The sequence below is a fragment of the Homo sapiens genome, chromosome 3 (assembly GCF_000001405.40).
Source record: "Homo sapiens chromosome 3, GRCh38.p14 Primary Assembly".
NCBI classification, from domain to species: domain Eukaryota; kingdom Metazoa; phylum Chordata; class Mammalia; order Primates; family Hominidae; genus Homo; species Homo sapiens.
The window spans coordinates 77,073,478-77,100,807 of NC_000003.12; the positions used below are offsets into that span (position 1 = coordinate 77,073,478).

The 27,330-nt window shown below is 35.6% G+C and overlaps 1 protein-coding gene and 1 pseudogene across 41 annotated transcripts in view; both read left to right on the forward strand.

Moving 5' to 3' along the window:
- The window catches only part of ROBO2 (roundabout guidance receptor 2), a 1,743,290-nt gene that overhangs the window by 1,166,803 nt on the left and 549,157 nt on the right, over positions 1-27,330 (forward strand). For all 41 annotated transcript variants that reach the window (NM_001378191.1, NM_001378195.1, NM_001378196.1 and 38 more), the window contains one exon: positions 24,537-24,863. In NM_001378191.1, coding sequence (NP_001365120.1) covers positions 24,537-24,863 — 327 coding nt within the window. The remainder of the gene's footprint in view (positions 1-24,536; positions 24,864-27,330) is intronic.
- RNU6-386P (RNA, U6 small nuclear 386, pseudogene) lies at positions 18,580-18,686 on the forward strand (annotated as a pseudogene).

Consider the following 27,330-nt stretch of genomic DNA (forward strand, 5'->3'; position numbering starts at 1 on the left):
CAGAAAACAAAGATCAATGGGACAATATGATTAATTTGAAGGTAAAGTAAGGAAGGGCTCTCATTTTTCACCCAGTGCCAATTTGCAGTAAACCTAAGCATTTCATCAAAGGGTTGCTGTTAACCACTTTAAAGCAATCCACTTTCCTGGAACTGGAACCTGGGGCCTTCCTGAGTCCTCCTTGAGCATACAGAGTTGCTGTGATCCATCTTCTCTTCTTTTCTGTCGACATGAATAGTAAGTGATTTCCTCCCTAGTGCATTATGAAGTTGTCTTATTTAATGTTTCTTTCTGGGGACTGCACAGCTTGACCCTCACACTGAAGGTGACCAGATAGAATTGTCCTGTGGGCATGGTGCAATTCTCTACCCTTGAACGTGGAATTATGCAGAGTAGTGAAGCTTTATGCCTAGTTGGTGATCATGACCTGGAAACATACACAAAGAAAGGGATAAATGAAGTTTGTTAACTAGATTACATGTTTTAACTTATTTAAAATGAGCTATTTTGATAAACATTTTGGTTAAAATAGTTTAATAGAAACGTGGAAGTGTTTTACATCACCAGGGAACATCCTGAATGTACAAATGAAGACATTTTCATTAAACAGGTGATGTTAATAATTTATTTTTATCACTAGCACTGTGACTACTTATGAATTATAAATGAAAATTTACATTTAGATTTAGCATACATACTCAAGCGTGTCCTGATTGTTTTCACAAATGTTAGTGGGTGAGGTAATGGCACTTTATGTTTCCACACTGATAGGGCTACCTTTAAACTGTCTCCAGAAGTGTTAACTTGCAGCCTCTCACCTTCCTTTTCTCTAAGGTTCTGTTTAAAATATGTCCCCTTCTGCCTGTGCTATAACTCTAGGACATAAAAGAAGTAGTTAGGAACAGATGATTTTTGATGTGTTGTGTTTCCATGAACACTAATGCAATTAGTACATCCCTGAGAGGGTCTTTGTATTTATCTATTATATTTTGAATGAATCAAGGCACAGTCTTTTCTAACACATTAGGGAATCTATTAGTTCACCTAGTTTGCTGACAGATGTTTCCTTTAGGATGGAAGAAGAACCGATACAGCTAGTTCAATTTAGAAAAAGTTATGTCCTGGGTGAATTCATGACTTTCTATTTTCTCTCCCATTTTTACAATAACCCTTCCTAGAGAAAGCATCACCTTTATTGTTTGATCTCCCCTTCTGTGATGTATATTGCTCACTGAAATATTCAGTATAAATGAATAAGTGATGAATGAATGAATGAATGAATGAATGAAATCCTTTGAAGAAATAATGCCATTTTAGCACAACATAAATGTCTCTAAGGGCAGAATGAGATGACGGTGAGGCAACCTTTTCTTCCAAAACTTCGAGTATTTAAAATGCTACATGTGGATGTTGCCTTGTTTTTGTTTGCATAGTCTTGAAAAGAAAGACCTAAAGATGGCAGGCTTCATATTTTAACTGTTTTCCACTAAATGCTTTTGTTATATTTGTCGTATTACTTAAAATTTTGTAGCTGGAAAGTTGAACACATCAAAACCTGGCTTTTAGAAAATGATTAATAAATCAAAAAGGTGAAGTCACTTTGTGTCTAGTCATTAAAATATATACACATGTACATAAAACGCATCTCTTTATATATCAGCATTATAATTTATATGTTGACATTCCATATTAGCATTATAGAACAACCGACCAGGTTTTTTGGGACTCATATCTTTCCAACTAAGTTCACGTGAGAGTATTTTTTATCGTTGAACCTGTATCTAAAAGTATAGTGTGTGGAGTGCTGTACAGACATAGGGATACTTCAGATGAAAATACTGATGAATTTCAGTCATTGAGGCAATTGGGAACTTCAGTAAGATTTTAATTTGAGAGTAATGTGTTCCCTCTGTCACCGAGGCTAGACACTACCTGTTGAGATTATTTGAGATTCCTGTTCTCAGATATATCAAAGACTTGAAGCGGGGTAGGGTAGGGGAGAGGTGCTCCTAGTAATCACTATGGCAGGGTTGGGCTTTACTGTATGTTTCCTTTACTCAATAAACTCCAGATGAGAATAACTAACAGAAAAAGTAACTTTTTTGCATTTAAATGTTGATATATACAACAAAATATGCTATTTTTTTATATAGGAGGAATGGTTCAAATATACACTACTATTTCTTTCTTTCTCCTTTTTTTTTTTTTTTTTTTTTTTGAGATGGAGTCTTGCTCGTGTCACCCAGGCTGGAGTGCAATGGCACAATCTCTGCTCACTGTAACCTCTGCCTCCCAGGCTCAAGTGATTCTCTTCCTCAGCCTCCCGAGTAGTTGGGATTACAGGTGCCCACCACCATGCCCGGCTAATTTTTGTATTTTTAGTAGAGATGGGGTTTCACCATGTTGGCCAAGGTGGTTTCAAACTCCGGACCTCAAATGATCCACCTGCCTCGGCCTCCCAAAGTGCTGGGATTACAGGCGTGAGCCACCACACCTGGCTTACATACTACATACATACTATTTCTTATGGCATCCTAATGGGACTTAAAATTACTGTTCTTTGCTGAGGTAAGGAAATATTGGGAAAAAAAGAAAAAAAAAGGAAAAACACAAAGGAGATATTAATAGTTTAAAACAGTTTGAAAACCTTGGGCACATTTTATTATCTTATAGTTTTATTTAGAAAGACTTATTGTCTTTCCATAGTTTATTTTTAACTGTATCATAAAGTATATAAATTCTGTATTTTCTCCTGTATTGATGGTTATTGTCCATTTTAGTGTGTTATCTTATGGTTTCTGCTTTGTTCTATGAAGACTCTTTAACTTTTTAGGGATTTAATTAGACTGGCTTTTAAATTATAGCACCTAATTCAAATATTTAAAACTTCTTTGGGGAAGGAACATATTTTAGCATACGTGGTACTAAAGCATTTAACAACAGTTTATGTTTTTTTCTTTTTTCTTAAAGTTTGTGTTTTTAAGCGATATTCTAAAATGTAAATAAAATAAGTAAAATGAGAGGAAAATAAATTTTTTTTCTGTTATTCTCATAATGAGTAAATTTTTCTCTCATTTTAAGCTATGTCTCACCAACCACCTATAAATTATTTCAAACTCAAATTATATGGAATCTTTACAAATGATTGCCTTAAAACTTGAATAAAACTGTTCAAATAAGTATTAGTTATAATTTCTAATAGAAATAATGTAGCACTTTGCATTACAAATAACTAAAGCATAACACACAGATAAATCTATATGAACTTTAATAATTTGCCCTAATTAAAGCTATAAGCTTGGCCTTACAGACAATTTTGAGTTTTCGTGTGTTTTTTTAAAAAATAAGTCAAAATTATAGGTTTTCAGTTTTGCCTTATGGATATAAGCAAACTGATACTGATTAGTGCAGATTTTGTTAAAGCTGCAGAAGCTAAAGTTTTTAAGGAAGGGATTAGATAAAGGGAACCTTCAGAGATGATACTGAAACAGCTCACTTCAACAAACTGGTACTCCTTACTGATAAATGTGCTGTCTCCTGAGCTAAGTCTTAGGCAAAAAAACACAATGATGACATACAGCACGTGTGAAATAGATATTCTTGCCTTTTGAAAAATAGAGTGCAAAAACTTTCAATTATGTTTTGAAAGCCTTGAGTACTGTGGATAATGATAGTTTCCTGTGCATCTATACAAGCTTTTAAAATCTCAGATTCCTCATCTGTAAAACAGAAATCATTACACAAAGCTTGTGGTGAGAATGAAATAAAATAATCTTGGTAAAGCACTGGTGTCTAAAAGTTCAATGAATTATAGCCGTATTAATAATTTCTGTTGTTATTATTGGATATTATTATAGTATCATTGAAAGTGAATTAAACATATACATATACCAGGGTACTGTGCTGGACGTCAGAAATAAGTTAAATATTCCAGAAGAAACAAGATCTTTATAAATAATCAGAATTCTAGGACAATAATGGATAAACGACTTCTGAGTTATTGTATACAAGTGACCGGCAAGCCTTGTCAATTCTAGCTTCAGTTAAAGTGGGTGATTGCTGGGGTGCGTCTTGGCACTGAGGCATAAAAGGTTAGAGGAGAAAAAATCAGCTGGGACTGTGGTAAAATGGAAGCTGGGACCTTGGTCCGTCGTCAACTGGACTCTCCAGTCTTGTAGTCTTGTCCAGATTTTCAAGGGTTTTGTTTTTCAGAGTAGCATGCAGTCCTCTTGACTATTCATATATACACACAGGTATGTTCTTATCCATCAAGGTCTGCTCTTTGCTGTAACAGAGGTGTGGAATAGATAGGAGTCTTGGAGTGTACTGGTGGCTCAGCTGCATAGAGAATCATTCCTGGGTATTCTAGAATCTCTGCCAGTTTCTGTCTCTGCTTTCTCCTTGAGGCCAGGATTGTGAAAGTGGGCTTTTAACCAATACTTTCACAATTTAAAGTCACCTTTTGTGAGCCTCCTTGGCACTCAAGTCTGCCCCCCAGCACACTGGCATCTAGTACACACACACAGTAACTTTGTTTCAGTAATTAATCACATTATTGATATCAGTGAGGTCACTGTTTTCACACAAGAGCCAATTAAAAGTAATTTATTGACTACATTTTATTTCCACTCATATGTATACACCTCAATGCAGCACCTTAAATAATTATATTATTACAACTTACTTTGCCTTTGCTATTGAAAAGGAAAATATCATTGAGAAAATACTGCTTTTTAGCTACTGAGCCGTTTATAAACGTCCAGTTTAAAAACATATTTGAAAACTTACAATGTAAACAAAACACTCCTAGCTTATATGTTTTAGTTGACACATGTTTTCCTGGGATACTTTGTCCCAAACACCTGTCTAAGTATGCTACATATGTGAATTCATTTTCTTCTCATAACAGGGGGTAGGAGATATTATCATCACCATTTTACACCAAGGTTCGGGAGTTAGCAATTTGCCCACAGTTACACAACCCCTGAGACTGGTTCTCAAATTTCAGTCCAGAGTTCATGTTCTTCAGTGGCCCTGCCATACTGTCTTACATTGATATGGTGCTTTGGCATTCAAAAAGTGCGGTTTGCATGTCTGATCTCATTTCATCCTTAACATAGTATGTGGCAGCAGATAGAATTTTCAATCCACTTTACAGATGAAACAACTGAGGCTCAGAGAGACAAAGTGTTCTAGTAGCAAATGTAAAACAGAGTTGGGCCCAAAGGTATTTTGTTTTATTCATTGACTGGTGTGTGTCACTGGCTGTCTTAGGGCTGAAATAGAAATGGATCAGGGCCTCCCACACCCCGCAACTCACCAGTGCTACCAGTTTCCCACAGCCCTTTGATTTCTGCAGCTGGGTTTCTCTAGTTAGTTTGAACACTCAGTGACCTGGCCACTTGTCTTTCATATCTTACTCTTGCCAGAATTGTAGAAATAGGTTCTATATTTAATTATTTTATTGATTGATTGATTGATTGTGAGACAGAGTCTCGCTGTGTCACCCAGGCTGGAGTGCAGTGGTGCGATCTCGGCTCACTGCAACCTCTGCCCCCTGAGCCTCCTGAAGGCTTCTCCCGCCTCAGCCTCCTGAGTAGCTGGGATTACAGGTGCACACCACCATGCCTGGCTAGTTTTTGTATTTTTAGTAGAGATGAAGTTTCACCTTGTTGGTCAGGCTGGTCTCAAACTCCTGACCTCAGGTGATCCACCCACCTCAGCCTCCCAAAGTGCTGGGATTACACGCGTGAGCCACCGCACCCAGCTGCTATATTTAATTATTTAATTCAACTATTAATACTTTGTGTTATACTTTATGAAGGAACTTTGATGTTTCTGTTTCATAATGTTAATGAGACTGACGTTACAGGTATCCTTCATTCCAAGATAGACTACGTTCCAGATTTAATGATTTTCTTGGCTAGCCTTCCGGGTTTTTCCTAACAACAAAGGTCTTCCTGAGGCCAATTCATCATGTGGCTACATTGAATAAGTGAATATTTCTATTTGATGGTGACTTCGAATTTGAGAAAAACCCCACAAAACTTTTAAGTATAATCAAGATCTACTATGTAAGAAGTATGGCCGTAAGTTAATGAAAGCAACCTCGTAAGTCTCATGTGAAAGTAGTTTACCATAGTGTTTGCCTTCATATGTTCTTAGTCCCTTCTTTATTAATTTATTTTTGTTAATTACTGTGTCCTCATAATGATGTTCATTCCACAGGTAGTGCCGTCCAGTTTGCTTATAGGGGAATGTTGAATCTGTGACCTTAATTATGGATCACAGTGGAACTTCTGTGAAAGTGAATGTCAGTGCTAGCCAGGGGCTGTGTTGTTTATATCACGTAGGCTCAAGTGAATAAATTAGCACATAGTTCTGAAATTCAGAAGCTGATTTTAAGAACATATTGATGAACCAAAGTTGTGTCTCAATATGACTTTGTGGTTATTAGGCAAACTCTTTTAATTCCATAGAGGACAGAGGGTAGCTTTTTCCACCATACAGTGTTAAATAATATTCTCGCTCCGTGTTTGTGAACTGAAACAAAAGATAGATTGAATTGTAAAGCTCTCTTGACAAATGAGCACGTTTTACTTTCTTCCTGTATTTTTCTTCTCTTGGCTTTTGTGTCCTGTGCTTTTTCCCAAGCAGTGTTATGCAAATGAACCAATTAATGGTAGATAAAATGGTCTTCCTACCTCGCTGTGTCTGTAACTAGAAGGACAACACCGTAAGTCACGTACCTATTCAGCGGGTTCTATAGGCCACTGTGAGGGTCTGATTAGCTTGACTGTGGAAGACAATCGCAGAGGCATCTGCTTGGTTAATTTTGAGAGCAAATTTACCAGATGGAGGCTGAAGATTTAAGTGATTAGAAGGTAGTAGATTGGAATACAAATTGGATTAAAAGAAATTAGATTGATATAAATCGAATTGAGTCACAACAGTTTGTGTTGTTCGTACCAAGGGCCAGCAGATTATGGGAGAAGCAGATGCTCCAATGAGATAGGAATTGATGTGGCTTTGACAGTCCATCTGCGAAGGTCTGAATATCGAGTACATCCCTAATCTCCCTCTCCATTTATCAATGCCATAATGTTAATTAGTACTTCATTCATTAAGTTACTTACAGGAGAAAAAAATCTCACCCCTATCCCCTCTCTGCTCGAGAATTTGTTATTTTGCCAAGAACTGGAAAGCTCTCTTCAGCTGAGCTAGCTACAGTTGACGGTAAGGGTAGACCTGTGTCCTTTTCCTGATGCATACAACTGCCTGTGGTATGAATGCAGAAAGCTTGAAAACATTTGCTCGTGTGTTTCTCTTCATAAATATATAGTTATTTGGAAGCTTACATTATTGCTTAAGCATTATTCCACTAAAAAGGAGTGGATATATTAATCGGATTACATAATTATGTATATTTTACATTATGGTTTTTATAAGGTATTCGCCGGAGTTGCCTGTTTTGTTTAATGGCTCAAGTATTTGACATTAATATTGAGTGGTATTTTTCCTCCTTGAGGGGAAAGATGAGAAAAATTTTGTTCTCATGATTCTGTGTGTTTATACTCACGTGCATGTTTGTTGTGTGTTTGACATCTATGGGCTAGTTTATTAGATTATGGAAAATTACAGGTTACTGACACTATCAAGTATTTTGATATCCAGTGTTTGCCTCTGATTGTTATAGAAAAAAAGTTAAATGAAATAAAATGAATATAAACACATCACTGTAAATGCTTGTACTTATATTGGGAATTTGATTCTTTACAATCCAAGGGGCATTGACACAAGAGTCTCATTATTACGCCATTGGCCACAGCAGTGAAATTCAGCAGAAGGCAATTCTGTCTTGGATGCCATCCAAAGGAACTGAGCCAGTGGAGATCCAAAGGTGATCTCACCTCTGAGGCAGCTTGAGAGTGTGCACTCTAAGGATAGCCATGAAGAAATGCCCCTGTGTATTCATAACCATCAGGCAAATACAACTTCTGGAGACTAACGTGATGAGCTGGGCAAAAATGGAACATCAAATCCTGTGATGCAAGAAGCATATCATTAAAGGTTGTGCCAAGTCATTCAGAAATAATCATGATACAGGCAAGTGTGGGCTGCCTGCCAGTGTGTGAGCACGAAGAATTTCTATTTTTGTTATGTTGAAGGGAGGCAGTGGCTTGTGCAAAAGTGTGTTAAGTATTGTAACATTCTTAGTTTACTGAAGAAAATTCTATGAGCAATGAGCTCTTCAGGCAATGTGCTTAATGTAGAAGTGCTATATAGCTATAAATGGAGATGTAGACACAGATACATATGGCTGTTCCTTATTCAGGCTGACCTGGAATTCTCCTGCATCCTCCCCAAACTCCAATGCTTGGGTGGTTTTGGTAATCACTCTTAATATTGGCTAAAGAATCCAATACTTTAAAATTCCCCATACCTTCACTTCAGAAGGAGAAATACCCTGCCCTCCAGGAACCAGGACTGAAACTGAGGTCTGTGAGAATCCAGATTCTATGCACACCAACTGCATAGGCCCTATGTTTAAAAACAATGCAGAGCCGGTATTTCTAATTGTATACTAATTGATATAACTTGGTCATAATAAGAGACTGTTTTAAGCTGTATTCCAACAAAATTTAAAAAGGAGAGGGAAAAACACTAACAGATTAGCCTGCAAAGTATAAAGCATAGAGCAGAATCACTTCTTGTAGTAAAGAAAAATTGCTAACATTTGTTATTGCTATTGTGATAGTGATTAAGTGCCATCTAAAAATAATTTAGTATTCAGAGGTCACTCCTTGTTCCTGTTTTGACACTTCAGTTTTCAGCCTAATTGTCAGTTGTCTAATTGGTGGTGGTTGTCTTCATTAAGAAACATCAGTACATCAAGGTAGTGCTCACTGAGCCTGGCAAAGTCATGGATTATGCTCTTAGCCCTGCCTGTGTTTCTGTGACTGATCATTGGGTATTTCATATCTTTTTTAGCCCCTGTGAGGATAACTAAAGAAATTAGTTGGTTGTAAACTAATGATAACAGGGATACAACCTCCCCATTTCCTGATTGTTGATGAACTTTAGACTGTTGATATATTTCTCCTGTGAAACATATCAAAAGATATATTAATTAACAGATATATATATATATGTATATATTTACACTCATATATACAATTTCTTTCAGTGTTTGGTACATTTGATTCAAATGCTACATAGTAACATTCTATATATATATATATACACACACAATAGTGTATTGTATGTACACTCTAGTATGTACAAATGTACTTGTGATGAGTGAATGTGTATTTATGCTACTACACTTAAAACATTTTTTTTTTTGGCTAATCTCACAAGGAATGTCCAGAGATTAAATTGAGGCCCCTATTTAATAGGAGATTCTTTAAAAAATATATACAGTATTTAAATGTACTCACACCAAATGGAAAAAAAATCAGCCAGATTATATCAGTGCCTCCATCATCATTTCGGGATTCATATCTGAGGCAGTTGGCCCATGGACCTGATTTCAATATGGGCAGTTTAGATACATATGTCAGGCACAAGCTACCTCGATGAAATAGAGAACTCTGCATCTCATTTCTCCCCCTGCAGTCAGCGTATTTTTTCAAATTTTCAGTGAACTAAAAAAATGAGAAACACAGCCAAGTTCTAATATAGTAAGTGATGTTCTGGCACCTTTGACCATAAATCAGTGTCACAAAGACCTCATGGCAGCCTGAGTAAATTCTGTCCAAATAAACGCTGAGCCCCAGCGTGGAGGTTCAGAGTTTTGTACTTCATCGTAACACTCATGAGGCAACTTGTATGATTCTGGATGCGTAAGATGAACTTAGGAAAGTCCCAATTTGTAAGTCAATTTGATGAATAAGTAGATTTATTCTGGCCAAGGGAGTATAAAAATTTAGAAAACCCCATAAAAGTTTGAGATTTGCCTGGGCAACCTACTTTGTGTTTGTTTAAAGAAAAGCAATCACTAACTGTTCCAAAATCCGTTTGCATTTTTTCTAGGAATGGAGTGATGAGGAAAGGGAAAGAACATACCTGGAAGAGAGAAACGATGAGGCATTTAGGATAATGATAGTGTGAAATTATGTCGAGAGACACAGATGGTGACTGTGGAAATGAGAGGCAGTCAGTTCCAGACACAAACCTGGAGAAAGAAGGAAGAATCCACAGAAATGTATGCCTAAGCGGTTATGATAGAAATGGAAGAGTTAAACCCCACAACCGGGATTCTGAGCATTAGGGACCTGGAGAAAGATGGAGTTGATGTCAGGAAGGAGAGATGATGAAATATGGGACGAGGAGAGAGGTGAGGGTTTCATTCTTAGATAGATGAACCTTGAGTTGATGACTGAGCATTCAGGTGGTCACCCGAACAAAGCCTAGAACTTTCCTTAGCTGGAGATACTAAACCCACATTTGGCTGTTGTTGTCATAGAGATAATACCTGAACACCATGAGAGGGAATGAGTTCTCTGTGGAATGAGTGAATTATCTTCATTGAAGGGAAGAGTAGACATCTAAGGCATACATACCTTGGGAGCTGTTAACTATTGGGTCAGAAATTATTAGACAATTCACACTTCTAGTTCACTAGTTTACATAAAACTCAAATATTTTTTTCTGTTATTTATAATGGAAATTCGTAACAAAAGTAACCAGTAATAATGTTCTTTTAAAAAAAATTTCAACAGCAGTGAGCGCATCACTAAAACACTAAAATTCAGTTATTATTGCCTCATTTGAAAGTGGGGAAAATTACGTGGAATATTAGGCAAACATCATTAAACTCTTAACATTTGTATACTTTTCATTTTCTTCCAGATTTTCAGTTGCTGGTTGTTTATAAGATCCAACTTATCAGAGTTTGATATATTGAATATTTTATGGTAAAGGCAACTTCCTACATTTTAGAAATACCACCCTGTTCGAAGCTATCATTATTCTGTGTTTCACAAAACTTATCACTTTACATTTTTATACCTCTGCCTGCCAGCATTTTTCTTTCCTTTTAGCATAATCCAGAATAATTCTGTGTTCCACTCTTGTGCTTTGTGACAAGAAAGCATTGCATTTCGAGAGTGGCTGGAAGGAGGTTAATTCCATGTCCACATGGTAATAACCTGGGGAAACCTGGGGATGATCAGTTTCATTTGATCCCTCCTCTGATAAGGCTTCAAAGTAAATGGGCTGAGTGGAAAACAACATTATTCCATAACTTTTCTCTAAGCTGCAGATGTTTTTTGACAGACTCAAGGAATTGAGACTCATATATTTTAGTGAAACATAATTCAAGCAGAAAAAGATCATTTGAAAACGTTTATTGCACTCACATTTGCTGCTCTTCTCCATTCAGCAGAAAAATAAGCTCTTTTTTCTCTGTGCACACAGAATCTTTTAACTGAAAACTACACTCAGTATTTGTGTTGCAGCAGTGATGTTATCTGCTGGTCATTTTGCTCTGAAACAGAAGACATCTCCTGAAAGGAAATTTAAAGTTTTATTAAATGGGTCACTAAAAAGCCATCAATAGATATCATAAATAGACACAAATGAAGAGAAAGTAGATCCCCAAATGAAAAGTATCCTGATCATTAAAGTAACTTATATTCTTTATCTACTAAAATAACTCAAGTTTGCAATCTAAATGTAACCACTTTGCATAGCCTTACTACAGTTGTCACATCAAAACTGTTATGATTGGCCAAATAAAACTGGAGAAAATGTTTTTATTAAAGACGTAAATTTATACTTATTTATTATTTTAATGCATTGCATAAAGTGAAGGCAAAATACAACTCCAAAATTTTCTATAAGATTCTATAATTTTGTAAACAGAGCTTATTCCAAATTTTAGAGCTATTTGCAACTGATAAAACATAGCCTCTTTTTCAAGCTATTTTATGTCACAAATCTTATCTAAGGTGTTTTTGGTGGAGTAAACACTTAACAATTTAGGTGTATATCCTCCAAATACCCCTGAAGAAATATGATGCTGTCACTTCTGTTCAGTTTGGCCAACTGTGAAAATCCATTCATTGTCAGTATGGTACAAAGACAAAGCCATAAGCCCGAGTTGTATTTGGATACCTTTATAAGCCTCCTTTGTTTCCAAGATACAAACTTCAGGAAAGATCTCCAAAAGCCATTGTACAATATTAAATAAGCCAACTCGATTATGGCCATTTCCACCATCCAAGAGGAAATCTTTCTTTTCATCTTTGGGATCAGTATACTCATTTTTGACTTGGGCCTTTTATTTAAAGATACACAATTTCATAAAGGTGTCATTTAGAAATTTCTAGGAAAAGTTATTGCTTTAAAAGGATGAGAATGATTTTGTTTTGACCATCTCTTGAAACTACTGGTAAAAGTGCATTTCAGATAATATTCCCATTCCTGTCATCTCATAAGTCATGTTATTGTGCCCTCAATAAAGTTTATTTAATATCCCTTAGTTATCTCTAAACTTATAATGGAAAAGCAACCAAAAAAATAAATAGATGCTTCCTATGCATTAATCATGGAGTCATTCCAAGATTTTTATAATGAAAAATAAACAGCGTTGGTATATATTTCAGTAAAATAGTTTAGAGGGACACAGAGTTATTAGGCATCAACATTTGCTTTAAAAAGGCCGTTATCTTATAGATCGTGGTTCATTGTTTTTAGGGGGGTTACAGACTCCTTTGAGTTTAGAGACAGAGGTTATACTAATAAAAGAGTTATACATTATAATAATGCTTATACTAGTAGGGAACATTTATTGAGTGCTTGCTGTGTACTCAGCACATGGAAAAATCTCATTCAATCTTCTCAGCAATGTTATTCGACTGATACTGCTATGTTTTATACATAGGGAAGCAAGATGCAGAGAAGGTAAGAAATTTGCCTGAGTTCACACTTCTTTTCGGCATTTGAAAAAGAAATTTCAAGTCAGTCCTACTGACAGATGATTTCTATTAACTACCAAAAATATACTTTATCATTTCTTAAAAACGAACATGCACATATCTGCACAAAATTTTGCATCCGGTGCCTGCAGTACCATCCCTTACCTCCATTCCACATAAACCAATCCATGATTTATGAATCACATTTTTACAAATAATGGAGTAATGCAATGATATTTGCACCTTAGGCCAAATTCTGTAGTAAATGAATGTTGATTAGAAATGAACAAGGCTAAAATCAGTCATTGTGTGCATCCCTTGGACATGATGCAACTAACGCGTTTGGCTCATGAAGGCTATAATTTTTCTGGTCGTGATTTAGCCATTATTCCTTTAAGAAACTATTGGATTGTAATCTTATTTTCCATCTGTCTTTTAAAAATCCTTTCTATACTTATATACCAAAATAAGTTTGTCTGAAATTTCAGGTAGGATCATTGAATCTCAATTTAACTTTATTATGAAATATTTTGGGGTACAGGAAAATTTATCAAGAGTTTCTGACAAATGTATTAACTAAGTATTTAACAAAGCTTAGCACACACATGCATAAAATATCATTGCTGGTGGGAATGGTGTTTTTTAGACATTGACACTGGGTCTTTTGGCATCTTCAGTTACTAAGATTAATGCTACTGCTACAGAATTTTCAGAATATAGAAACAGAAGGAAATATAATAGAAAGTCAAAATGATATCACTCCATTCAGAGTTTATTTAAGTAAAATCCCCTTTTCTGGAGACACACTCATAGTCTTCATTAAATAAATGTCAATGGTTTTTAGAAAATTAAACATTATTAGACAATTTAATGATTTTTGAGATTGTTTCATTGCATCACCTTTTGTAAAGCCAAATGCAATTTCAAACCACATGAAAATATTATAAATATGATAATAACAAGCCAGATTTTAAAGCTGTCTTCCTGGAATAGGGATTGTTTTTGTCATTGAAAGGTAAATCTGCATAAGCCATGAAAACCTCTGATTGGGCAGTAAATCACACTTTAAAGAATACCTTCAACCATGTAAGATGTAGCAAATTGATTTGAAATAGTATTGGATGAATATCCAGGTTAATACATTGGCTCCTCACTGAATTGTTGGAAATGAATTTATAAAGTAGAAGAGTAATTTGTTATTAAGAGGAAAATCCCCCCTAACAGTTTTCTAGAAACCTTCAGATTAGGAGTTTCAAAATTTATCTTCAATATTATATATACATGTGTGTGTATATACAGATATACACACATATATACATGTACACATATATACATATATGTGTGTGTACATATACATATGTGTGTATACATGTATATATACATATATGTATGTATTCATCATGGAGTCATAGGAATGTTGTATATATATACACACACACATATATATAGATGCACACATATATAAAGACACACACACATACATAAGAATATATATATTTCTATTGTATATTCATATATATATTCTTAGTTGTCCACCTGTGGTTCGATTGCCTTCAGCTTCTGACTCTAACTTACACAAACCAAGCCTGCACTCCCTACGGGTGCTGAGGCTCTACCTGTCACTGGGGCCCACTTGCTCAGACAGTCAGTGGCTCAATTTTGATGTGGGCAGCCAGGAAATTGAATAGCATTTTAAAAATGTGATTAAGACTTAGCTGATAAAGGCACTGAATAACATGCGGTAGTGGAGGAAAAAACAGGGGAAAAAGTGTTCTAATTTTCATATTTTTAGCAATTTCTGTTAATGGTAGATAAGTAAAGACCTGAGATACAATTGTGAAATTCAGGTTGAAAGTTTTATGAATCTTTATTACTTACCTTCACCTGAAAGATCAACTCATTCACCCTAATTAAGGAAGGAAATTTTAAAGATCTTTGCTGAATGCTGAAGGTTTTATTTTACATAATTAATTACATATCTATTTATTTGTTACATTTTATTTTATTTTAAGTTCTGGGATACATATGCAGGATGTACAGGTTTGTTACGTAGGTAAATGTGTGCCATGATGATTTGCTGCACCTGTCAATCCATCACTTAGGTATTAACCCCGTAAGCATTAGCTATTTATTCTGATGCTATCACTCCCCACGCTGCCCCTGAGAGACCCCAGTGTGTGGACATATTTATTTTTAAGATACCTATCCAATATAGCCAGTTAGTCTTTGGTTAAAATGATTTGTAGAGCAATGCATTTACTGACAATATGGATAAATTTTATAGAAATTTAGGAATAAATTTCTAAGGTACGTTTTCAGTCTTTTAAATCATTGTTAACTTTTGGAGGGTTTTCTAAGAATTCATGTGATATCCATTGCTTTTGACAGCAGATACAAGACCTACAAAGGCCAACTTTTGTAATCTATACATTTATCAAAAGTATGAACAGTAATCTAAAGTGTGTATTTTTTAAAGTATGTACCCTGTGTTCATAAATTTAAATTGCTACTCATTATGCTTTCTTTTAGATATGTCTGTTAAGATATCATTAATGTGACAGCCATAAAGAGTATGATCATGCTACAGAACAATGAGACTGTAGCAATTTACTCTTCCACTTACCTCAAGTTTGGGATGAATAAATAGTACAAAAAACCAGTTTAGGTAATTGCTTAAGGTGATATAACTAACCATATATTGGTCCAGATAAAAAGCCAAACAAAAAACAACTGAAATCTAGTGCTTGGGATTTTCTAATAATATTTTAGACTTCTAAAATGTGGGTAAGAAGAAAAAGTCATCCTGAAAACAGAGCTTGGACCCACAGCTAAGACAAGTATATCCTTCTAGTTTTGGTTGTGAGAAAGAAACTTCAGTTCTTTAGTACTCTATTTTTCCTCCTCATCTATAAAATAAGGGTTTGTAAAAGGACCTCTGATAGCTTAATCTTCTGTTTTCTGCATCTGGAAAGCAAGGTCACAGAGATGTTGCAGGGTGCTATTTTGTACAACTGGAAACTTTCAGAATCAAGGCTGCCTGTTGAGTTTGACAAACCTCTTTTATCCTTATCAGTTCCCTTTCACACTATAAGCCCTTTAGTTTTAGGACACTGAAAAGTTATTTTGAAATTTTTCTAAGAAATAAGTAGAGTTTCTAGGTCTCAATTTTGATTTTGTTTCAAATTTAGACTTATTAAGATGGCACTGCTGTGCTTCCAGAAGGAATAATAATCTTATAAATTTATTTAGGCCAATGGCAAATTAGGAAGTCTCCTGAGAGAGTTTTAGCAAATTTCAAATGGATAAAATGGACTTCGTGTTTTCCAAATATTGATCTTCTCAGCATATCCTACCACATCACTGGACCTCTAGAAAAAAAAAGTTATCTCATAATACTTTTCTATTCCCTCCTCCCTCATAAGCAAAGTAAGCTGGAATTTAATCATCATGAAGAATTCAAAGATGGAAAAGTTGTTATGGACAGACTTGATGGATTGATGGCATGATTCATTAATTCCATTAAATTGCAAATTACCTTAGCTCACTAATCAATGTAGACAGCATTTGCAGTGGCACTGAGATATGTTTCCTTCAGTGAAGGAAATTTTGAATTGGATATATTTTTGACTAACGATAAATAGTAACAACTAATTCTTTGGAAATCTAGTGTAAAGCTATCAGCCTGGTCCAGCTAAAATGTATCAAGCAATAAAACATTAATGTCAGAATCATCCTCAGCAAAGATAAACTATTGACTATTGTCAATGGGATTATAGAGTTTTATGGGCTAAATTTTGGAAATAAAGTTTAGAGTTGGAGTATTTGTCATGTTTTGCAGAAGGAGAAAAAAATACTACACTGAACGCTTACTGCCCATCCTGGTGATCCATATATATGATTTCTTTTAATCTTCTAAACCACTCTTTTTTTTTTTTTTTTTTTTTTTTTTTTTTTTTTTTTTTTTTTTTTTTGAGACGGAGTTTCGCTCTGTGGCCCAGGCTGGAGTGCAGTGGCGCGATCTCGGCTCATTGCAAGCTCCGTCTCCCGGGTTCACGCCATTCTCCTGCCTCAGTCTCCCGAGTAGCTGGGACGACAGGCGCCACCACCACGCCCGGCTAACTTTTTTTGTATTTTTAGTAGAGACAAGGTTTCACCGTGTTAGCCAGGATGGTCTCGATCTCCTGACCTCGTGATCTGCCCGCCTCGGCCTCCCAAAGTGTTGGGATTACAGGTGTGAGTCACAGCGCCCGGCCTAAACCACTCTTTATAGCATTGATGTCCTGATCTACCTGTTACAAATGAGGCATGAACGTTAACTGATCAATAACCTGTGTTCTTTATTTGTACCACACTGCCTCCTTCCTATTGCGATGTGTCAGGCAACCTTCACCTTTTCGTGTAGTGCTACTGTATCTGTCATATCAGCAGGTGGCTCTGATCACATTCAGAATTGAAGTAATCCTGGAGAATCTTCCTGGGTTAATTCTATTTATATCGTTTTGGGGAACAATATTTTGTTAAAACAGACATAGTTATGGCTAGAACATACTGTTACATACATTTTTAAGAGAGAAAAATGAACACAGCATAGAAATTTTGCTGGAGGAAGTATATTTCACACTCTGTCCCTAATTTGCCGAGAATTTCTTCGGCCCTCAGAAAAATTTAGAACAGCTTGAAATACATTGCTTGGCTTGTGGAGGGACTAATAGCTGATAGGGCTATCCAGTTTGTAAAAGAAAAATAAAACTTGGTTCAAGGAAATACTATACTCCAACTCAATGAGGCAGAGACATTTACTCTGTAACACATGAAATGAAATCAACAAGTATTCTAGGTGCATTTTCCTCCTTTATTATACTACGTGATTGAAATCTCTTCCTGAAAACAAATGTTCTCTGGCACTCACTGCGAATGAGTGGTTACTGACTAAAGAAAACTAAACTTAACCATATTCATGAATTATAATTTATACATCACCTTCAAAAATTTGAAGTGCTAATATACCACTCAACGTTGTAAAATATCAAATATTTTATCAAAAATCATTACAAAATCATTGTTTGAGAGTCTCTGAGAAGCAGAAATAATCCATTATGCAAATTAAGGTGCTTAGAACATTATTCACAGATGCGTCTGCATCTGGCTGACGAACTTGATGATGCTGTGGAATGCTACATCTAGCCAGGTCTAAGTGTGTGATCTTCTGGTAAGCATGGAAAAAATGCAGCTTCTTGGAACCTTTCGCTGGTAATTTCTGATGCACCTTGTTCACTATGGAGACTAAGAATCTGGTGGCCAGGTAAGGTGGCTCATGCCTGTAATCCCAGCACTTCTGGAGGCCGAAGCAGGAGGCTCGCTTGAGGCCAGGGGTTCGAGACCATCCTGGCCAATATGACGAAAATCCGTCTCTACTAATAATACAAAAAATTAGCCAGGTGTGGTGGTGCGTGCCTGTAGTCCCAGCTACCCAGGAGTCTGAGGCACGAGAATCGCTTCAACCTGGGAGACGGAGGTTGCAGTGAGCCAAGATCATACCACTGCCCTCCAGCTTGAGTGACAGAGTGAGTCTCTGACTCAAAATAAATAAATAAATAAATAAATAAATAAATAAATAAATAAATAAAAAGAATCTGTATTTTAAAGAAATATCTTAGTGTTCACTTCGGCAGCACATATACCAAAATTGAAGCAATACAGAGAAGATTAGCATGGTCCCTGGGCCAGGATGACAGGCAAATTCATGAAGAATTAGAAAAAAAAAATCCCAGATGATTCTGATGCAGGCAGTCTGAGAATCAGGCTTTGAAAAACGAGGAAAATGTTTTCTGCTGAAATTATGACTAGCGACATTCATGTGATACATTTTATTGAAATGAACCTTAGAAGAGGTCTTTGGAATTAGCCTAGATGCCATGTGCATTCTTTACTTGGTGCTCCATTCATTTCTAAAGAAGCCTGGCACATTTTGGATTAAAGGTCATGAGTTCTAATTCTGCTTCTCCTATCTATTCAATTATGGACAATTTATGTGACAATTTCACAACTTACTTTCTTGGACAGTAAAAATAAACATTTGGATGTTCATCTTTAGGATCCTCTGAACAATTTTTGTTATCTCTCTTTTATTATAAAAGAGAGAAAGAATATATATAGTTTATATATTATTAATATATATTATTTTAATTAAATAATATATATTTTAATATATATTATTATATATAATATATAAATTTGTATATATTTTAACAATATATATTATTTTAATTAAAACTTGACTGATTGCCCAATTAATAATTGAGATATAAAAAGATACCAGACATGATATCAGTCACAAGCGAAATTAGAATTGTAGATAGTTATTTTCATACATCGCTTAGTATATCTGTTCTAATAGGAATCTTTGAATAATTTCTCATTATATGGGCAATAATAACATTGCTGTCAAACTAATTTTCATTTGAAATCTGTAGAAGAGATATTTATAAATTTATAAATTTATTTATAAAATAAATTTAAATTAAAAATGAACTTTGTAATGGAAAATGATATCAGGTACTCTTGAGCAGGGTGGGCAAACCTTGGTAAATATTTCAAGCTTCACAGGCTATGTAAGTTTTCTTTGTTACCACTTCCTCCTCCTCATCCCCCTTCTCTTCCCTCTCCCCCTCCTCTTCTTTTAAAAACATTGTTAGCTCAGAGCCATACAAAAACTGATGTGAGCAGTGCTTATCAAACGGTATTGTGCATACAAATACCTGATGAAGAGAGGGGAATCTTGTTAAAACGCAGATTCAGATTTCAGATATGCTGGTATGGGCCTAAGATCCTCTATTTCTAATACACCTTTGGATCATGCTTTTGTTGCTAGTTGAGGGGCTCACACTTTAGATGTCCAAAATGTTGAGGTTGAGCTGTTTCATGGCACTTCCTGTGATGAACAACCCCCACTCCCCCTTACTGTTTTGTTCTCAGTCCCCAGTGAGTTTTGCTGACAACTCAGCTTTATTTTTTGACCAAATAATGGAGTTGTTTTAGCCAATAACATAGAATACCCAGTAGTTTAGTGCTCCTTGATAATCTTAAAGGCCCAACATCTTTGGGAATATGATGAAAGCTACACCCCCAACCCCACACCACCACTACTGCCTCCCCCTTAACAATAATACTCATTTCCACACACAGTTTTAAAGATTCCAAAGACTTATGCATTGGGTCCATCGTAAAGACCACTGCTATTGTTATGTAATGTCTGAATTTAAGAAAGCTCAGAATTAATCCCCATATTTTTAATAACATTGTAAAACTTAGATTGTAAAGCTGTATTTTTGTATATCTATGTCTATCTTTCTAATCTATCTTTCTCTCTCTCTCTCTAATCTATCTATCTGGGTGGTGAGACCTTTAAAGTTCACTTTATGTCCTAATTATCTATTGCAGGCCTGATGATTTCATTAGAACCTAAGATTATAAATGAAGAAAACAGTGTTAACTGTTGTTAGGAGTGAGCACAAATTGTTACACACCTTTTATTAAACTTGTTCACAGTGCTCTTTTATCTATCAAATTTTTAAAAATTGCTGGAGATATAATTCATATTCCACAAAATTTACCCAAAGTATAAAATATAATAATCTTTATTACATTCACAGAGTAATGCAACCATCACTGTAATTAATTTTAGAATATTTTCATCATCCCTAAAGAAATCCCATCCCCATTGGCAGCACTTGCCCAGACCCCCTTCATTCCCCACTTCCATACCCCAGCCCTAGGCCAGCATTGATCTACATTCTATGTCCGTGGATTTTCCTTCTCTGGACATGTCATATAAATGGAATCGTACAATATATGGTCCATTGCAACTAGCTCCTTTCACTTATATTTTCAAAGTTCATCTATGTTGTAGCATGTATTATTAATACTTCATTTTTAAGGCTGAATAATATTCCATTATATGGATATGGCACATTTTATTTATCCATTCATCATGGATATTTATGCTGTTGATTCTTTCTTTGTTATCCATTCAGTTGGTAGACATTTGGGTTGTTTCTACTTTTTTGACTATTGTGAATAATACTGCTATGAATATTCATGAGTAAGTTTTGTGTGGATGTATGGTTTCATTCTGGGGTGATATATATCTAGGAGTGAAATTGCTGGGTCGTATGGCAACTACATGTTTGACATTTTGAGGAACTTCCAGATTGTTTTCCAAAGTGACTGTATGATTTAAATTCACACTAGCAATGGATGAGGCTTTCAGTTTTTCCAAACCCTTGACAATACTTGTTATTTTACATTGCTTTGATTATATATGTCCTAGTGGGTGTGAAGTGTATTTCATTGTAGTTTCGATTTGCATTTTTCTAATAGCTAATGATGTTGAGTATCTCTTTATGTGGTTATGGCTATTTGTCTAACTTCTCTGTCAAATTTGTTTAACTACTTATTCTAATCCTTTGCCTATTTTAAAATTTGATTATTTATATTTTTATTGAGTTATGAGTTCTTTATATATTCTAGATACAAATCCATTATTGGGTATATGATTTGCAGATTATTTTTCTGATTCTGTGGGTAGTATTCTTTCAAGCACAAGTATTTAAAAATTTTATAACATCCAGTTTATCTCTTTTTTTCTTTTGTTGCTTATGCTTTTGGTATCATATCCAAGAAGCCATCACCTAATTCAAAATCATAAAAAACTTGCCTCTATAATTTCTTGTAATCATTTCATAGTTTTACTTTTTATATTTAGGTTGTAGATGTTCTTTGATGTTTTTATTAAAGTAGGAGTAAAATTACAAGAAGAGTGTCCTGATATGACAGTACTATAATCTTTATGTAACATAGTTTACATATATTGTAATGATAAATGAGTAAAATTCTTCGTGTGCTCATTGGACATACTGGAGTTTAATTTTATTGCTAAATAGCTTAGCTATTTTTTCACTTTTTCTTTTATAAATCAATTATTTTATATTTTATTTAGTAAGTATTAGCATATTTCAGGTCTTATTCAGCCCTTATCCAGGCCTACTGCCTAATAAGTTAGTGCACAAGTTGATATAGTAAATAGCACCCTAGTAGCTATTTACTTGCTTACTTTTAATAGTAGAACAGTTTTGCAGTAGGGAGAATGTAGGTTACTGTGCATAGGGAGATTCATGGAGAACAAAGGGGCTATCTAAACAGATGATTGTAACCTACTATATGCCTGTTACATGAAAAGTGACATAAAACTCTTGATGTATTTTAAGATCAGAGTCTACAGCTATGTGTCCAGACCTTTACATTGAGAATATGTTTCTGATTTGCAACCTACTTCTATTCAGCCACTCATGTTTAAATACTTTGGGGTCTTTCTTGATTATGAATTTAAAAATTCATTGTTACTTTTGTATTCTGTAAATTCCTCATTGCTTTAAGACCCAGTACTCATGATCTATATCCTTTATTATTGTGATGTATACTGTAATTACCTATCTAGATGCTTTGGATCTCTTTAGTTTTTTTTTTAAAGTTCTGACCTGTGAACAGTAAATTACTCTTTTGCTTTAGATATCTAACACTTGTAATGTATACATTCTTTTTTGGTCTGATGTGATTAAAAAAATAGCAACTTTTAAGAGTTATTCCTCTTCAAAAAAATAAAGTTCATTTAAGACTAAATTAAATTCCCTTTAATACATTAAAACATGTATTTTCAATTAATACTGAGAGTGAACTGAGGTAACATTGACAAGTAAATATTACTGCTATCTGTTGAAGAGAAATGTGCTCATATTAGGTGATTGGTTGGAAAATCTTATATAAGAGCAAACTTTTAAGAAGTGCTTATCTATATAATCATTATGTCCCCATATATGGTGATTCCTCTCAGCATCTCCTTTTTATTTACTTGGAGCAGCTGGTAGAACATTTTCATGAATAATGGTAATTGATACCATATAAATGAAAAATATTCAAAATAACACATTATGCAAAAATTTGATTGTGAAATATCAACAGAGCCTTCTCTTCCTATTTCTTTTCTTTTCTTTTTCTTTTTTTTTTTTTGAGATGGAGTTTTACTCTTGTCACTCGGGCTGGAGTGCAGTGGCACAATCTTGGCTCACTGCAACCTCTGCTTCCTGAGTTCAAACGATTCTCCTGCCTCAGCCTCCCGAGTAGCTGGGATTATAGGTGTCCACCACCCTGCCTGGCAAAGTTTTTACATTTTTAGTAGATATGAGGTTTCACCATGTTGGGCAGGCTGGTCTCGAACTCCTGACCTCAGGTGATCCACCCACCTCGGCCTCCCAAAATACTGGGATTACAGGTGTGAGCCACCGTGCCCGGCCTCTCTTTCGATTTCTTACGCCCCTTATGGCCCCACTTTTATTGCATTCACAGGGAAGTCACTGGTACGATCTATCTTTCTTTGTACTGTGCATGGTGATATACCAAATTCTGTCAAGCATTTTGATATGGTATATTTTTCCTTCTTCTTTTCTACCTAAACCATCATTTCCCAAAGTCAGGTTCTTTTTATTTTTCTCTTGAACTATTTAAGTAAATCACAACTGTCTTCGTGTCTCCGTTGCTATCCCTTATTGATAATACAGACTACAAGTATCTTTCGATTGTACAGACAGTCATGTCACTGCCCCCTTAAAAATCTGTGAGCCGTGTAAAAGAATAGTCATACCCCTGAGCATGGCACAAAGCCTTGTCTCAGGCTCCAAGACTGTCTTAAACCTTTTCTTGCTGTATCAGCTTCCTTCCTGATTATGAAATGTACCATGCACGTAACTGTCATTTCCTTGTCCTTTTGCTGATGGTATCTCTTGGCATGATGCTTTTTTCTTTTAGTTGTCATTTTTCATTCTTTACGGCTCAATCTAAATGTAATTTTTTTCGGGGAAGGGATCTCTTATTATGCTTAATTTAGGGTTAACTTTTACTTTTTTTCTTTCTGCCTATAGTGCATTTCTTATATACCTCTATGCAGCGTATTGCATTTTAACATACGGATTTATACTTGAGCTCTTCAGTCAAACACACCTGAGTTCAAAATCCTGCCTCTGCTGCTTGCCTCATCTACATTTCTGGGCAACTGACATCATTTCCTAAGCTTTTGCCTCATCTGTTAAATGCAGATAATATTTGTACATAATTTACAGGTCTCTTTTTGTGTTAGTCTGATAACATATTGGCAGCACATTAAATGCTATCTATGTGTGTCTTCTAGCTGCTTGCTGACGTGGCTTTCTTCCCCAGTGTATAATAAGCAATCTGAGGACAGGAAATTAGTCTTACTCATCTTAGTACCCATGCTGATCCCAGAAGAACAAGAAAGTCTCTTGTTCTCTTTTACTTTTGCTTGTCATGATTCATGGAACACATTAAACCTAACTCCTTTGAGTTAACATATTAATTTATTGGTATCGCCCTATCCTGCAAAGGAGTTGAGATGACTTATGAGATGCATACACAAAACGAAACATAAAATAATGTTCAGTTGGATAATCGAAGAGTTTAATTTCCCCATCAGGAACCCAAGTGAAACCGAGGGTTTAGATAAGGAAATGTTAAAGCTTGTCTTTATTCCGTCATGTTTTGTAGGATCGCGTCTTCGCCAGGAGGACTTTCCCCCGCGGATTGTGGAGCATCCTTCCGATGTCATCGTCTCTAAGGGCGAGCCCACGACTCTGAACTGCAAGGCGGAGGGCCGGCCAACGCCCACCATTGAGTGGTACAAAGATGGGGAGCGAGTGGAGACTGACAAGGACGATCCCCGGTCCCACAGGATGCTTCTGCCCAGCGGATCCTTATTCTTCTTGCGCATCGTGCACGGGCGCAGGAGTAAACCTGATGAAGGAAGCTACGTTTGTGTTGCGAGGAACTATCTTGGTGAAGCAGTGAGTCGAAATGCGTCTCTGGAAGTGGCATGTAAGTGAACATAATGAACCTCATGTGCACATTTACTTTTATTTATTTCAAGTAAGTTTTGATGTGTTCCCATAGACGCTGAAACCTAAAGAATCAATCAACACACTGCATAATTTTACTTGGTCTTCTTCAGAGAAGTCTGGTCAAGATAGTATCAAGCCAGGGTGTTGTAGTAAGTTTGTTTATATGAAATCAAGATGACCAATATGTTATTATAAGAAAGCAGGCCGGGCGCGGTGGCTCACGCCTGTAATCCCAGCACTTTGGGAGGCGGAGGCGGGCGGATCACGAGGTCAGGAGATCGAGACCATCCTGGGTAACACGGTGAAACCCCGTCTCTACAAAAAATACAAAAAGAAAAAAAAAATTATCCGGGCATGGTGGCGGCGCCTGTAGTCCCAGCTACTCGGGAGGCTGAGGCAGGAGAATGGTGTGAACCCGGGAGGCGGAGCTTGCAGTGAGCCGAGATCGCGCCACTGCACTCCAGCCTGGGCGACAGAGCGAGACTCCGTCTCAAAAAAACAAACAAACAAACAAACAAACAATTATGCCTTAAAATTTTTGCACTCTTCAGCTTCCTTGTTGTCATGTACGTCTTCAAAGATAAGAGAATTGGGAGATTTCAGGATGCTGGAATCTTATGTATATAGCTATATATATTTTCTCCTAAATAATAGCTCATGGGCCTGTGTCTTTCTTTTGGTAAACAAAATTGTACTTTTCTTTCTTTCTTTTTTTTTTTTTTTTTTGAGACAGTGTCTCCCGCTGTCACATAGGCCGGAGTGCAATGGCGCGATCTCTGCTCACTGCAACCTCTGCCTCACGGGCTTAAGCGATTCTCCTGTCTCAGCCTCCCAAGTAGCTGGGATTACAGACACCAGGCCCAGCTAATTTTTGTATTTTTAGTAGAGACGGGGTTTCACCGTGTTGCCCAGGCTGGTCTTGAGCTCATGACCTCAGGTGATCCACTCGCCTACAATTTCTTATGTAGCTATCCCAATGAAGTTTTTCGTTCTCAGGCATCTGCTTCTGATTTACAGTTTGTGCTAAGAAACCTGGAACCCCCGGATGCTGGAAATGTATAACTCCAATAGGAAAAGACTAGGAGAATCCTAAGACCCATATTTTTTATTTTTTGTGAAGTGCCTTGAGCTATGAGCAGTAGGACTTTAGTTAACAATGGGATTTTGTACTGGCCACCAAATAGTTTTATTTTTATAAAATGATACTTCAAAAAGCCCTCAAATTAAATGCAATTTGAAATACACACACAAAAATTCAAGAATGCAAATATCCATACCTGTTCCATTTTTGTTTTGAAATATCTAATTTTGGAAACTTTTCAAACATATTGAAATACCTCAATACCAAATTTTATTGATTTTTTTCCCCCAACAGACCCTTTTATGGTGAATATGACTGGCATTATTCTCCCATTTTCAAGATAAAGAAAATGATGCCCAAAAAGTTTAGGTGACCAAGATTCAGACAATAAATTAATGGGGATGCTAGACCAGGTCCTGAATCTTCTAATTTTTATTTTTAGGGAATTGTGTCATATTTGAAGAAACACTCTAAATGAAATCTGGTCTATTTTAAATATATAAAAATTAAGAAATTTTAATTTTTCATTTTTAAAATTCTATCTACTCAGCAGCAAATAAGGTGTTTAAATCCTTAACAAAATTTTACTTTTCAAAATTAAAGTATATAAAAATTGACCTGTCATTTTGTTGTTTCATCTAAAAGAATTGCTTTCTTTTCTAATTGCGTCATTAATAATGAATCAAACTGTTCTGGTGGGAATATTTTAAACCATGATTTTTGTGTGTGTGTGTAATGTGACAGTAATTTTTTTTATTTTGAAGTAAATGAGCTTTAAGAAATACTTGAATTACTCATGACCTAGAGAGGAAAACAAGAAGGCTTGCAAATTGGATTAGGGAGTGAATAAAATCCCTTTTTCTAATGCCATGTCAACAGTTCATTCCATTTGAGGCATCACAAGGTCAAATAATATTCATTTATATGTTGCTCATCTCTTTCCATTCGCTCATCAGTCTTCTATCTTTCCTTATGTGTTTCATAAAACATATTAATATGGAAATTTGGGTTAAAGCATTGTGATTTTTCACTACCTATTGGTAACTAATATGTATTTTCATAAAATGACAGAGGAACAGCTGTAGAGGAACAACTTCAGATTATGTTAAATTGGCCTTCATATTTTAGAAAACTCAACATAAATACTCATTGTGGTGCATTCACTTAGTTTATTAATAGAAGGCGGATATCCACTGAAAGAGGTGTTAAGGAATAGCAATGAAGACACATTCCAATGTATTCTCAAAGAGCTCACATTCTAGTTGGGATGACAAACATGTAAATAAAGAGTTACTATAATAAATTAAATATACAAACAATAAAGCCTATTATAAAGACATGTAAAAATACTACGCAAATCCGG